The sequence below is a fragment of the Homo sapiens genome, chromosome 16 (genome assembly GCF_000001405.40).
Source record: "Homo sapiens chromosome 16, GRCh38.p14 Primary Assembly".
NCBI lineage: Eukaryota > Metazoa > Chordata > Mammalia > Primates > Hominidae > Homo > Homo sapiens.
In genome coordinates, this window is record NC_000016.10 from 85,799,689 (window position 1) to 85,813,725 (window position 14,037).

Sequence of the window (14,037 nt, forward strand, 5' to 3'; positions counted from 1 at the left end):
CTTGCTCTCTTCCGGTCGCGGGACACCGGGTGTAGAGGGCGGTCGCGGCGGGCAGTGGCGGCAGGTGAGACAGGAGGTGGCCGGTGCGGCGCCGCCAGGCCGGGCCGGGTCGGGGGGCCGGGAGCCATCAAGTCTGCACGTCCGCAGCCTGGCCGCTCGGCTTCAGCAGGAAGCACCGAATGGGCCTCGGAGCCAGGTGACATTGAGGCCGGCCCGTGGGGACTCCGGGCTCGGTGGCTCCAGGCTCGGGGGGCCGCCCCGAAGTGCCCGGTCCATCTTACCCGGTCTCGCAGCGGCTGCGGACCGGCCTCGGGCACTGACCTTGGAGCGCCCGCTGGCCGAGGGCTCAGGCTGCGGGGAGGCGGGCCCGCGCTCTGTGCCTGCAGCCTCCGCCCTTGCTCCTTCAAAAGGTCCCTGTGCAACCCCTCCCGGGTTTTGCGGGGCTCCCGGGCGGCGCTCGGCTTTCCAGCCTGGAAGGCGCCTATTGTTTGCTCACGCAAGGGCTAGGCCCAAGGAGAGAAGCTAGACGCGGGCGTTCAGCCCTGACGTCATGCTTGTTTATTCTGCCCCAAGGAGGGTATTTCCCCACATCACTCTCACCAGTCCTCCGAAGGGTCGATTTAAAGGGGGCCGTGTAAGGTTGATGGGCCTGAATAGAGGAGGGCCCGGGTGAGGGGGGGTCTCATAGGTTTTCCGCTCTCCTCAGGGATTGGAAATTGATCGGGGCTGTGTTGGCAGCCTTCTCCAATTTCCCCTTCTAGTCTATGTACAGGCGGTATTAGGTTTTAAACACTCAGTTGAATGTGATGCGTGCCACGGTCCCTGTGAGCTGTCACCTCCCCCCACCGCTCCCTGAAGAATGGAGTCTGTCACGGCAGCACAGTGCTTTAATGATCTCTAGCTTTTTCAGAGTCACCTTGTTAGCATTTTTTCTTCTTGCCTTTTTTTGTTTGAGACGGACTCTTGCTCTGGTTGCCCAGGCTGGGGTGCAGTGGTGCGGTCTCGGCTCACTGCAGTCTCTACCTCCCGGGTTCAAGCGATTCTTCTACCTCAGCCTCCCAAGTAGCGGGGATTACGGGCGCCCACTACCATGCCCGGCTAATTTTTGTATTGTTAGTAGAGACGGGATTTCACCATGTTGGCCAGGCTGGTCTTGAACCCCTGACCTCAGGTGATCTGTCCGCCTCGGCCTCCCAAAGTGCTGGAATTACCGGCGTGAGCCACCGCGCCCGGCCTCTCCTTGTTTTTTTAAAAAGACCAATGTTCTGTTAATTACCTGAAGCGCGTATATATTATGGCAGTTGATTTATAATGAAGCTCCTTAAAAGCATGCCAATTACTAAGAAAAACCTCATCCTAGGTCATTTTGTGAATTCAGAGACAGTGATAAAGAATGGATCATTTGCGTTGGGGAGAAGCAAACAAAAAAATTCCAAAATGCTCTGGGGCAAAAAGAAGACTAATTCCTTGCTGTTTGTCCTTATTCATAGAGAAGGTGTACATTTTTATCTTTCAGAATGTTGGCTACCAGGGTATTTAGCCTAGTTGGCAAGCGAGCAATTTCCACCTCTGTGTGTGTACGAGCTCATGGTAAGTGTGACTTTTCTTACTTTTAAATAGGCTGAACTAATTTCATTTTGCTCCTGCTGTGTATAAAGCCCTGTGCTGGAGTTTTAAAGACCTTAATTCGGCTCTTGAGGGTCTTTAGGGGAGATATAAATGTTCTCACAGGGCTTGGTTCTAGATTAAGAAGTGTTTATAAGTCAAATTGAATCTCTTCTGGATCTTTGGTTATACTGATACTTCCCCACTTACCCTTCCCTTCCGTTCCACTTTTTTAAGCTTCGAGATCTACCCCTTTCAAAAGATCTTCTGCACCATAACTGACTGACCTTAATGACCTCCCTCCCCACCTTGCCCCCACAACTCCCAACCATTTGCATCACCTCTGTTTACATTATAGAGGCAATGGAAACGAAAGAGCCTGGACTTCCTAGCCTGAGCTGGGTTTTCATCTCATTTCTATCAAGGACTAGCTACTGAAGCTCAGGAATCTCTTTGCTCACCTGAAGTATATGGACAGAGCTTAGTTCTGTGTCTGGCATACAGCACATTTACTTTTGCATGTATCTGGCGTCTATCTACTTTGTACCAGACACTGTTAGGCACCGAGAAGAAAAAGAATATGAAATACACACACTTTCCAGGAGGCTGTTTGCAATCTGAAGAGGGACGGATGGGTGAAGACAGTGTTTTATTAAGAGATGGCTCCTGGGTAGAAGCATTTAGCCCGATGTGGGTTTCAGGGAAGGCTTCTGGAGGAAACTCTCCAGGGTCTTTTCATTGCCTTAGTAGAGTCTACACCCTGCCTGGTTAGAGCTGGTCTTGCCTGCCTTTCCGATCTTATTACTGACTGTTGTACTCAAAACCCAAAAACTACCATCAGAACCACCCATCCCCACTTGCTCACTGCCCCAGCCCCCTGGCCTTACTCCATTCCTCCCGTAGAGCCCCGAGTTGTGGGTGGTCGCTCCTGTCTAATCATTCACCCTCGATACAAATGTGCTTTTAGAACGGCCTCTCCTGACCATCCTTTCTCAGGAAGCTCCCTGTCACCTCACCTTGCTGTGCTTTTCCTTATAACACTGGATGCCTCATGAATGCATGTCTATTTGAGTATTGCTGTCTCAGCCTCTTAGAGTGTAAGCCTTTTGAGGCCAGGGAGCCTGCCTGTCTTACTCATTGCCGTATCTCCAGCACATAGGAGGCAGATGAAGACGAACTGCAGGCTCTTAGACAAGTCTTCTCTGTTAAGTTATAACTTACGTAAGTCATACATGAATAATACATGAATGTGTTCTCAACATAAGATATTAAAGCAGTCTGGAATACCATCAGCCGTCACTGAAGTCAGTTGGGATATTTGTGTGGTGATGCACCTGAGTAAGGGGTGCCCAGATATACCAGATCTCCCCAGCAGAGGCTCAACAGAAATCCGTCCATGTTGAAGCGGTGACAAACATTCCTTACAATCTGGAGTCTTTGTTTTTCTCTCTCTCTAAAAGAAATGTTTGGTATATTAACCATTGATTTTCCCTTAATTGCTGGGGGACCAGGCCTGAAGCTCTGAAGAACCCCTGAAACCATGAATTGGCCATTCTTATTCTGGAAGATGCAATTTTGAGGTTTGCATGCGCCAAGGTTTTGAGGGTTTACGTCGTTATAATAGCTTTTTCCCCCCAGTCTCCCTGTCATGGCATTTACAACAGCTTTACAAGATGTAATTCATATAACAGTCACCCATTTAAAGTGTATGCTCCAGTGGTTTTTAGTATATTCATTGAGTTTTGTCATTAGCACCACAGTCAGTTCTAGAACATTCTCATCACCCATATTTACATTTATTTTTAATAACTCTCATGTGTAAGCTGAGTGTTTTAAACTTTAGAGACTTCTGGGGGGTGCTGAACTTGATAAAAATATTCAGTATACAAGTGTTCTTTATAGTTCACTCATCATTTTCATAGAATTAGGGTTTTAAAATTAGAAAGTAATTTAGGCCATTTCCATCTCCTGTCCCTCAAATCCCAGCTCAGTTTTGGGATGAGGTGTCAAGTATAAGTTTGTAAGTATGCCAGTCATTTGCACGGCTAAGAGAAACATCTAGAGAAGTCTATATACGACTTGCTTAAAGCTGAATGTTGATTTACTGTTCACATGATTTGGGTGATTTTAGTCACTGGGACTGAGCTAATGGAGTTGAAGCATTGTTGCGGGCATTGTACCTCCAGACCAGTGTGTAATACAAAGAGTTCTTGCAGACATAGGACAGAATTGGAGAAACAGCTTCTAACAGTGGGAAGACTCTCAGTACAACCAAGCTATTCCTTACCTTTCTGATTTCTGAACTTTTTTCCATGTGATACCTGCTGCTTTGAAGGCACTAAAATAACAGAAGCAGATAGAGCAGAAATCCTCACTCAGATCTTCCTCCTTCCTACCTGTATAACAGTTTGTGGCTTGCCTTGTCTGTTTTGTGCGTTTCGTTACGCGTATGTGAGTATGTGCACGTGATTTCCAGAAAGGAGAAGCGCACGATACTGCCCGTGCTCTGTGACTCCTGAGTGCACGCTTCCTCTGCATTTGGGCTCCTAGGTCGGCCTCGTCCTGTGGACGTTGCCCCTTGTTTCGTGCCATCCACACATTCCTGATGCCCCGCTGCTCTACTCTTTCTCCAGAGTACTTTTTCCAAACATGTGATTTGCACATTTGTTATGTTTATTGTTTGTTTTCCACTTCTAGAAGTGTGCCACTAGGCAGGAATGTTTGATTTGTTCACTGATGATCCCAGATCTCTAGAACCCTGCCTTGCCTGTAGAGGGTGCTTGGTAAATGTGCTCTGAATGAATGGCTCCATGATCCTCGTTTCTAAGAGCTAGCACGATTTCTCACTCAGTCCTGGTTGGACACAGGTTCCCTGGAACAGTGCTGTTGTGGTTATCTTCTCACGTGTCTTTGTTTCTGAACTTGAAACGCTTTGAGTTTTTTATTGTTTTTGTTCTTCCTCATTAGTTTGAGTCCCTTGCAGATAGGCTTTCATTTTGTCCAGTCACCTGTTCAGGGAGCCCTGAGGGCCTTGGCCCACGTCTGCAGGTAACTGGTTTTTTTATTTTTATTTTTTTATTTTGAGACGAAGTCTCGCTCTGTCACCAGGCTGGAGTGCAGCGGTGCGATCTCAGCTCACTGCAACCTCCGCCTCCTGCGTTCAAGCGATTCTCCTGCCTCAGCCTTCCGAGTAGCTGGGACTATAGGCACGTGCCGCCACGCCCGGCTAATTTTTTGTATTTTTAGTAGAGACGGGGTTTCACCATGTTAGCCAGGATGGTCTCGATCTCCTGACATCGTGATCCGCCTGCCTGGGCCTCCCAAAGTGCTGGGATTACAGGTGTGAGCCACCGCGCCCAGCCCTGCAGGTAACTGTTAATGTAGGAAGTGCTGCCTCTGGGCACCTTGGCCCCAGGGTTCATTAGCAGTTGCCCCTGGTGGGTTTTTGTTGGCTGTGATGAGAAGTGCTTCTGTTCCCCCTCCACCACACTCCTGCAACTGTTTAAACAGTGGCTGTGACCCCCTGAGATGATCCAGGGTTTCAAGGCGTGCACATGTCTGTGTTTCGGTTTTCAGAAGTATCACCTTGGGGTGACTCTCAACTTACATGGATTTTCAAAGATTTATTCAATATGTTTTTCAGAAAGTGTTGTGAAGAGCGAAGACTTTTCGCTCCCAGCTTATATGGATCGGCGTGACCACCCCTTGCCGGAGGTGGCCCATGTCAAGCACCTGTCTGCCAGCCAGAAGGCATTGAAGGAGAAGGAGAAGGCCTCCTGGAGCAGCCTCTCCATGGATGAGAAAGTCGAGTGTGGGTATTGAAGGGACCCACAGGCGCGCCCAGCAGCTCTCGGAAGCGTGTGTGTGACAGAGCCTCTGCTCACTTCTGGGCCTACTGTCTAGAGGCAGTCTTGCACAGGAGGGTTGCTCTGCTGGGTTTCGGGGTCACTGTGCCAGGGCCCCAGTTTATGTGCTCACCAGTCACTTAGCTCTGCCAGCTGACAGGATCTTTTGCTAGGCCCCCTTCTCTGTGCTGAGTGGAGGTAGCCTCTCAGCATATCTGCTGGGTAAGACATAGTTAACTGTAAATTATTGAAAGAAACTCAGCAAAATGCATAGTGTTTGGTATGAAAGGGGCAGAAAAATAACAAGATTAAATAGACCCTAATACTGTAATTCAAGTAAGAAATAATTTTGCAGTTTTAATTTGCACCTGAAGCGAACTGTATGCATTTTCTTCTTTCCTTGCCCTGTCACATGCCTGCGTGGGCACGTGTGTGCACGTACGTGCGTGAACATGATGTGGCCTGGGTTGGTGTATCCTTCAGCTCTGTGTTTCCTCCTTCACAAGTGTGGTTTTGGGGAGAAGTGGTTGAATGTTGCAGAGGAGGGAGCTGCTGACCTTTGTGCCTGTAAATGGCTGTCCTCTCTGCCCCCAGTGTATCGCATTAAGTTCAAGGAGAGCTTTGCTGAGATGAACAGGGGCTCGAACGAGTGGAAGACGGTTGTGGGCGGTGCCATGTTCTTCATCGGTTTCACCGCGCTCGTTATCATGTGGCAGAAGCACTATGGTGAGTAGAGAGGGAGGAAGGCATGGGCGCCTGGACTGGGGCTCCAGCCTGCAGTGCCCATTGGTGGGCTGTCGGGGACCTCCATACCTTGAGGCTATGAGATAGGGACTGCATTCCAGAGTTCATCTCAGGATTGTTTCCAGGCCTTGGTGACCTGGAGAACTGAAGTCGTGGGAGGTTAGTTTATAAGCCAGCATCTGATTATTCATAGCCATGCTTGTTGGGTGGTGAAATACCTTAACTACTTTGTACAGCACACCACGTTTTCAGTAGCAATTTATGTGCTCACCAGTCACTTAGCGAAAGATGACTTCGTGAAGGTTCGAGCAAGGATAAGGGGACTCATTCATTGAATGACTGTCTGGACTGTTGTGAGGACTGCATCTCAACAGCCAGCATCTGGGGGTCCCGACCTGATAGTTTGTGTGTGGGCATTGCCGGGTTGCTCGCTCGTGGTAATGACTCTTCCCCGAGGTTCTTTCTGTCCAGGCAGAACAGGCATTTTTGCATTCTGAATAGGTATATTCTCGTACTTTTGGTTTGAATGTGGATGTGGGTTAATAACAGACCCGAATCTATTTGATCTTCCAGGTCACCTTGGGCTCTGTTTGTCAGATCCTGTTATCCATAGCCTTTAGAGAGGACCTTCTGCTTTTAGCTTATTTTGTTGCTAACTTTTTACAAACAAAGGGCTAATTTTAAAATGTCAGTGTTGTCAGTGGTCAGAAACCGTGTGTTTGAGCGGGTGTTGAGTGGCAGGTGGCTCTGCTGACCTGGTGGCTGGTGTGTCGGGAGGATTTAACCTGTGTGAGGGATTGGCCTAGAAACAACCTGTTGAGATAGTCTTGCCCCATAACCTGTCTCACACCGTAGTGTACGGCCCCCTCCCGCAAAGCTTTGACAAAGAGTGGGTGGCCAAGCAGACCAAGAGGATGCTGGACATGAAGGTGAACCCCATCCAGGGCTTAGCCTCCAAGTGGGACTACGAAAAGAACGAGTGGAAGAAGTGAGAGATGCTGGCCTGCGCCTGCACCTGCGCCTGGCTCTGTCACCGCCATGCAACTCCATGCCTATTTACTGGAAACCTGTTATGCCAAACAGTTGTACCACTGCTAATAAATGACCAGTTTACCTGAAACCCTTTGTGATCAGTTCTTTAATGATACCTAAATGAAAGCTAATTAAAACAATAGGTTTCTCCCAAGGGTCTGGAGTAAATATATTTTGGGTGCAAATGAAATGGCAAAAATCTAGTATCTTAAATTGTATAAGGGGACATTATATAAAAACTGAAAATATAGAATTCCTTGATGTAGGAAATTTGAGGTTTTTGGCAAGAGATCTTTATATAAGTAAAATCCCATTATCGTAGGCACACCGGCAGGAGTTACCACAACCCTTTTTTTTTGTTTTGGGAGACGGAGTCTTGCTCTTGTCACCCAGGCTGGAGTGCAGCCGCACAATCTTGGGTCACTGCCACCTCCACTTCTCGGGTTCAAGGGATTCTCCTGCCTCAGCCTCCCAAGGAGCTGGGATTACAGGTGCCTACCACCACGACCAGCTAATTTTTGTATTTTTTAGTAGAGACGGGGTATCACCATGTTGTCCAGGCTGGTCTTGAACTCCTGACCTCAGGTGATCTGCCCGCCTTGGCCTCCCAAAGTGCTGGGATAACAGGTGTGAGCCAGTGTGCCCGGCCTATGAACCACTTTTCTTCTGGGACTGTCCCTCCCTCCCTGCAGTTTTCTTTTTTTTTTTTTTTTTTTTTTTTACTGATCATTCTTGGGTGTTTCTCGCAGAGGGGGATTTGGCAGGGTCATAGGACAATAGTGGAGGGAAGGTCAGCAGATAAGTGAACAAAGGTCTCTGGTTTTCCTAGGCAGAGGACCCTGTGGCCTTCCGCAGTGTTTGTGTCCCTGGGTACTTGAGATTAGGGAGTGGTGATGACTCTTAACGAGCATGCTGCCTTCAAGCATCTGTTTAACAAAGCACATCTTGCACCACCCTTAATCCATTTAACCCTGAGTGGACACAGCACATGTTTCAGAGAGCGCAGGGTTGGGGGTAAGGTCATAGATCAACAGGATCCCAAGGCAGAAGAATTTTTCTTAGTACAGAACAAAATGAAAAGTCTCCCATGTCTACTTCTTTCTACACAGACACAGCAACCATCCGATTTCTCAGTCTTTTCCCCACCTTTCCCCCTTTTCTATTCCACAAAACCGCCGTTGTCATCATGGCCCGTTCTCAATGAGCTGTTGGGTACCCCTCCCAGACGGGGTGGTGGCTGGGCAGAGGGGCTCCTCACTTCCCAGTAGGGGCGGCCGGGCAGAGGCACCCCTCACCTCCCGGACGGGGCGGCTGCTGGGCGGAGATGCTCCTCACTTCCCAGACGGGGTGGCTGCCGGGCGGAGGGTCTCCTCACTTCTCAGACGGGGCGGCCGGGCAGAGATGCTCCTCACCTCCCAGACGGGGTCGCGGCCGGGCAGAGACGCTCCTCACCTCCCAGACAGGGCGGCGGGGTAGAGGCACTCCCCACATCTCAGACGATGGGCGGCCGGGCAGAGATGCTTCTCACTTCCTAGATGGGATGGCGGCCGGGCAGAGACGCTCCTCACTTTCCAGACTGGGCAGCCAGGCAGAGGGGCTCCTCGCATCCCAGACGATGGGCGGCCAGGCAGAGATGCTCCTCACTTCCCAGATGGGGTGGCGGCCGGGCAGAGGCTGCAATCTCGGCATTTTGGGAGGCCAAGGCAGGCGGCTGGGAGGTGGAGGTTGTAGCGAGCCGAGATCACGCCACTGCACTCCAGCCTGGGCACCATTGAGCACTGAGTGAACGAGACTCCGTCTGCAATCCCGGCACCTCGGGAGGCCGAGGCTGGCGGATCACTCGCGGTTAGGAGCTGGAGACCAGCCCGGCCAACACAGTGAAACCCCATCTCCACCAAAAAAATACGAAAACCAGTCAGGCGTGGCGGCGCGCGCCTGCAATCGCAGGCACTCGGCAGGCTGAGGCAGGAGAATCAGGCAGGGAGGTTGCAGTGAGCTGAGATCGAAGCAGTACAGTCCAGCTTCGGCTCGGCATCAGAGGGAGACCGTGGAAAGAGAGGGAGAGGGAGACCATGGAAAGAGAGGGAAAGGGAGAGGGAGGGGGAGGGAGGGAGAGGGAGAGGACCCTGCAGTTTTCATGTTGGCTAGGGTGGGCGGCCACCAGTTCAGGGAGGACAGCCCCACTCTGAGGTCTGACTGAGGTGTGGGTGCTGGCCCCGTCTCCCTTGGACTGCTTGTGGCCTGCTCAGCTCCCTGGCTACTCACAACTCTTTGATCTAAAAAGTAGTCACAAGGCCAGTGTCAAAGCGGTGGTCTTACGAGCATCATCCTGGCCCTGGCAAGCTCTCTCCAGGACTCATCCTCTTACCTGTCCCACCCAAGCACCAGTTCCCAAACTGGAGACCCTGTCTGGAGAAGAGAACAAATCTGCAGCCTGTGTGCTGAGAGTAGCAGAGATGGTTGGCAGAGAGGGGTTTCCTGCCAGCACTGGGGGATAGGAATGAGGCAAGGGGAGAGAATGGCCCCGGAGAAGCATAGCTGTAGCCAGGAAGGGAAAGGGGACCCTTAGATCTTGCCCAGAGGAAATACATGGGACAAAGACCTTGGCTGGCTGGAAGGTTTGGGCTCAGTTCAAAATCAAGAGCAGGTCAAATACACCCCAATCGAGCACCTTCCAGTGCTGTAGAAACGCCCTTGATCCCTTGTTCTCGAAGGACCAGCTGAGCCCCCCGGGAGAGTGGGATGCAGGGGGCTACAGGGCCTTGTGGAGTCTTGCCGTGAGGACTCGTGTGAACCCCTTGGTGGTTTAACTACAAAAGCCCACACTGCCCTCTGGGGGATGCCATTTTCAGTTCCTTGCCCGAGGGTGGGCTCCTGGGGGTGGTAGGGGAAGCTGAAGTAGTTGACCCCGGCCCCACTGGTCCCTGACCCTTTGCCTGGCTCTGGTGGAGCCGCCTGCCCTGGGCCAGGCAGCAGGCCAGGCTCATCATCGCCTGCATCTCCCTCAGGAGAGGCCGAGAGGAAGGAGCTGTCACCCCAGGATGAAGGCAGAGGTGTCTGTGGAATCGAGCCTGCTGTACAAGCCCTCTACTTTTAGCCTTGAGTGAGTCCTTGAGAAGTCCGGCTCTTCCTGGCCTTTCCCTCCTACTGCTTAGGAAGCTGTGCTCTTGACCTTGCTAAGAGAACTGCCATTTTTCCATTGGATTCAGATTCCAAAACGTGGCTGTCCATCCTGATTTTGTCCTCACGCTTAAAAAAATAAAAATCCCTTTTTACTGCCATTTTAGTGGGAATTTGGGAGGCCGCAGGGGTTCATGGCTGGATTCAGCCCATGATCCTTCACTGGTCACCCGCATGCCATGGGGACGTGATGCTGACCTGACCCCAGGTGCTCACTTTCCCAGGCTCACAGGGAGGCAGACCACAAGTAAAACAAATACACAGAGAAGTAGAGGATCCAGCAGGGTGGAGGGAGGGGGCACAGGGAGAAAAGGTTATGGGTGGGGGTTGGTTGGGCAGATGTCACTGAAGAGGTGACATTTCGGCTGAGACTTGAAGATGAGCCGAGCCACTCACGCTGAAACCTGAGGGGAGGTCGGGCTGGCAGGTGGACACAGCACCAAGCCTGCACAGCAGGCATGACGCTGGAGGCAGAACAGGGCTTGGTGTGTTCAAAGGACAGCAAGACGGCCACCAGGCAGAAGCACTGTGGGAGGAGGCAGGGTGGGGGTATGGCAGGGGTGCTCAGATGCCAGGGCACATGGACTGCGGCCCACAAGAAGAGGAGGACTGAGCTCTTTCTGAGTGTGTGTGTGCGGGGTCTCATTTCACCCCTGGACTGCCCCTCCCAGGGTGCTCAGGGAAAATATTGAGGCTCCTTAACGAGGCAGGAGGACTTTGAGCAAGATGAGCCCTTGGGACAACCCCAACTTAGCTCACTGGAGGCTGGAGAGGGCCCTGTCTCCCCACGCCGGGGCCTCAAGGGAAGATGCCTCAGAGATGAGGCTCCTCACCCGTCCAGGGCCTGCATCTCCACGTGGGGCCATCACAGAGACCTCACCCCCCAGCCTAACCTTGAAGCTCCTTGGAATTTAAGATACACTGTGTCCCTCTTTGTCACTCTTCTTCCTTCTCTGCTCATCTTCCTCCCAGTTGGCAGTTTTCTACTCTCCAGAATTTAAAAATTCACGGCCAGGCGTGGTGGCTTGAGCCTGCAGTCCCAGCTACTTGTGAGGCTTAGGCGGGAGGATTGCTTGAGGCCAGCAGTTTTTTTTGTTTTTTTGTTTTTGAGATGGAGTCTCACTGTTGCCCAGGCTGGAGTGCAGTGGTGTGATCTCAGCTCACCGCAGCCTCCACCTCCTGGGTTCAAGCAATTCTCCTGCTTCAGCCTCCTGAGTAGCTGGGATTACAGGCGCACACCACCACACCTGGCTAATTTTTGTATTTTTAGTAGAGGTGGGGTTTCGCCATGTTGGCTAGGCTGGTCTCGAACTCCTGACCTAAGGTGATCCACCTGCCTCGGCCTCTCAAAGTGCTGGGATTACAGGCGTGAGCCACTGCACCCAGCTGAGGGCAGCAGTTTTGAGACCAGCCTGGGCAACATAGCAAGACCCTGTCTCTTAAAAAAAAAACTGCTTATAAAAAAATCATTACCTATATAGGGCAGGACAGCAGCAGACACATTAAAAGACATCTTAGAAGCTGGAAGATAAGGGAGCAGTGGTTTCCTCTAGATTAATAGTACCAGCTAAGCTTTTAACCAAGAGGAGGGAAAAAATGAAGAGTGTCTACCACCACCAAGCCCTTGCTGAGAAGAGTGCTGAAAGATGTGGCTCAGGAAGAAGAAAACTGCTCAAAGAGGAGTGAGATGCCAGGAGAAATGGTAGGCAAAGGAACTGAAAACCATGAACGCAAAGCCACTCAAGCACTGGCTGAATACAGCAGTAAAAATAATGGTGGGCAATTTGGTTTAAAAAGCAAAGAGGAGGGGGTTCCGGGAAGATGGTGGCAGAGTGTTTGAATTTCCCTGAATCCCCATGTAAAGACAGAGTAACTAGATAGCAAAACCATAAACCCAATGGACAATACTAGGTGAGAGAGTCCCACGAACCCCTCACGATCTGCGGAATACAAATGCGTGGGGACAAGTCACCTGCGCCACAGCCCGACACAGCATCTGCTTTGGTGCAGCAGGACGCGGAGGGAAGCAAAGGGACGGCGGGTGGACCTGGGACACAGCAGCGGGGCACTCACTGGGAAGCACAGCGACCCTCCTGTGACGCTGAGAGGCCGCCCCGTGCAGAAGCAGGCGATTGTGGGGCTTCTCAGTGGGTCCCGAAGGGGCTGGAGCGCTCTCTATACCCACTCTCCCAGGCTACCGTCCCCGGGCAGGGATCCACACTGCAGAGAAACTGCCGGCAGTGGAAAGGGACTGACCAGGACAGGCAAAGAAAGTACAGGCAAGATCCAGATTCTCGTGGGGAAAGTGTAGAGAGCCCGAAATCCCAGAGGCCAGGTCCATGCTTTTGAACCTCAAAAGAAAACAACCCCAGCGGGAGCTCTTGGGAGTAGGAAAGTTTTCCTGAGCCCCGCCTCCTTCCAGAAATGCAGGAAAATGAGTTTGGGCTGCAGTGAAGAATCTGCGCTGTAACGGATTAAAATCCCGGGGTGGAGAGACAGACAAAGCGGCAGGAGAGCATGGGCAGGGCTCAGAACGAGAGCAGGGGACACGAGCTGGGGCCGTGGAGAAGGAACCATCGCAGAGGGACGGAGGCATGGCATGGCCCGGGCCACATGGGTTTCTATTCCGCGTGAACAGGTCTGTGCAGACCCATCCACAAAGGCTGAGGGAGCCCAGAGGCCGAAGAAAGAGGCTGACAAATTCAGTTTCTCAGAAATAATAAACATAATTTTTTTTTTTAAGATACAGGATCTCCATCTGTCCCCCAGGCTGGAATGCAGTGGTGCAATCATAGCTAACTGCAGCCTCGACCTCCTGGACTCAGGCGATCCTCCTGCCTCAGGTAGCTGAGTAGCTGGGACTACAGCCATGTGCCACCAGACCCAGCTAATCTAAAATTTTTGTGTGCAGACAACCAATGGCTATGTTGCTCAGGCTGGTCTTGAGCTCCTCGCTTTAAGCGATCCTCCCACCTGGGCCTCTCAAAGTGTTCAGAGTACAGGTGTGAGCCGCTGCACCTGACCAGAAAGAAATAATAGGAACTTAGGAACAGAAATAGGGACTTACGAACAGATAGTGGCTCCCCATACCTGCCTTCCAGAAAGTCACCTTTATACAGCAGGCGTTTGAGGTAAAGACATGGGCAGCTGATCACGCCTCAGACTTTCTTGCCAAAGCTCGTTACCACTGGGGAGGTTGGATAAGCATCTTTGGGAGCGGTTATGAATGCCAAAGGCATTGTTTAAAGACTTTCCTGCAGAACAGCTTGGTGTGCAGGAGTCCAGCATTGGTCATCACGGCAGTTTTGCTCCAAGATGGCATCACTCTTGCCACGCAACAGACTGCCTCCCTACCGCTCCCGCTCGCTCCCCCGGGCTGCCTGCAGGCACTGCTGTTGAGGTACCCTGAGGTGGCAGCTTCATGAGGGAGCACCAGGCAGCCACTCAGTGGCAGGTGGGTGACATTAGACCCCCTCCTCCAGCGGAGGGGCAGAGATTTGTCCTCCAAGAATAGGCCCATATTCTGGAAATGGAGTTGCCTTCCCTGCAACAGCACCGTGCATGCCTCATTTGCTGTCTGGGCGTCCCACACATCGCTCTAATCAAGAAGCTCACTCACTTCACAGCCAGA

The 14,037-nt window shown here is 51.6% G+C and overlaps 1 protein-coding gene across 8 annotated transcripts, besides 4 other annotated features; it reads left to right on the forward strand.

The window, feature by feature from the left end:
* On the forward strand, window positions 7-7,380 carry COX4I1 (cytochrome c oxidase subunit 4I1). 8 transcript variants are annotated; one of them, XM_024450156.2, is made up of 5 exons: window positions 7-196; window positions 1,517-1,590; window positions 5,249-5,416; window positions 6,045-6,176; window positions 7,050-7,380. In XM_024450156.2, the coding sequence occupies exons 1-5, from the start codon at window positions 180-182 to the stop codon at window positions 7,184-7,186; spliced, it is 528 nt and encodes a 175-aa protein (XP_024305924.1). In that variant the 5' UTR covers window positions 7-179; the 3' UTR covers window positions 7,187-7,380. The 8 variants fall into 8 exon arrangements, with proteins under 8 accessions (XP_024305924.1, NP_001305715.1, NP_001852.1 ...); NM_001318786.3 differs by having other exon boundaries at window positions 7-64; window positions 1,496-1,590; NM_001861.6 differs by having other exon boundaries at window positions 7-64.
* Window positions 78-177: a silencer, noted in NCBI's record as "silent region_7823". NCBI's record gives its function as "represses an Ori minimal core promoter by ATAC-STARR-seq in GM12878 lymphoblastoid cells {active_cell/tissue: GM12878}" and the evidence as "EXISTENCE:reporter gene assay evidence [ECO:0000049][PMID:35858748]".
* Window positions 208-277: a silencer, noted in NCBI's record as "silent region_7824". NCBI's record gives its function as "represses an Ori minimal core promoter by ATAC-STARR-seq in GM12878 lymphoblastoid cells {active_cell/tissue: GM12878}" and the evidence as "EXISTENCE:reporter gene assay evidence [ECO:0000049][PMID:35858748]".
* Window positions 288-487: a silencer, noted in NCBI's record as "silent region_7825". NCBI's record gives its function as "represses an Ori minimal core promoter by ATAC-STARR-seq in GM12878 lymphoblastoid cells {active_cell/tissue: GM12878}" and the evidence as "EXISTENCE:reporter gene assay evidence [ECO:0000049][PMID:35858748]".
* Window positions 7,872-8,579: an enhancer, noted in NCBI's record as "NANOG-H3K27ac hESC enhancer chr16:85841166-85841873 (GRCh37/hg19 assembly coordinates)". NCBI's record gives its function as "activates a minimal SCP1, AML or CMV promoter by ChIP-STARR-seq in naive H9 embryonic stem cells {active_cell/tissue: H9 hESC(naive)}" and the evidence as "EXISTENCE:reporter gene assay evidence [ECO:0000049][PMID:30033119]".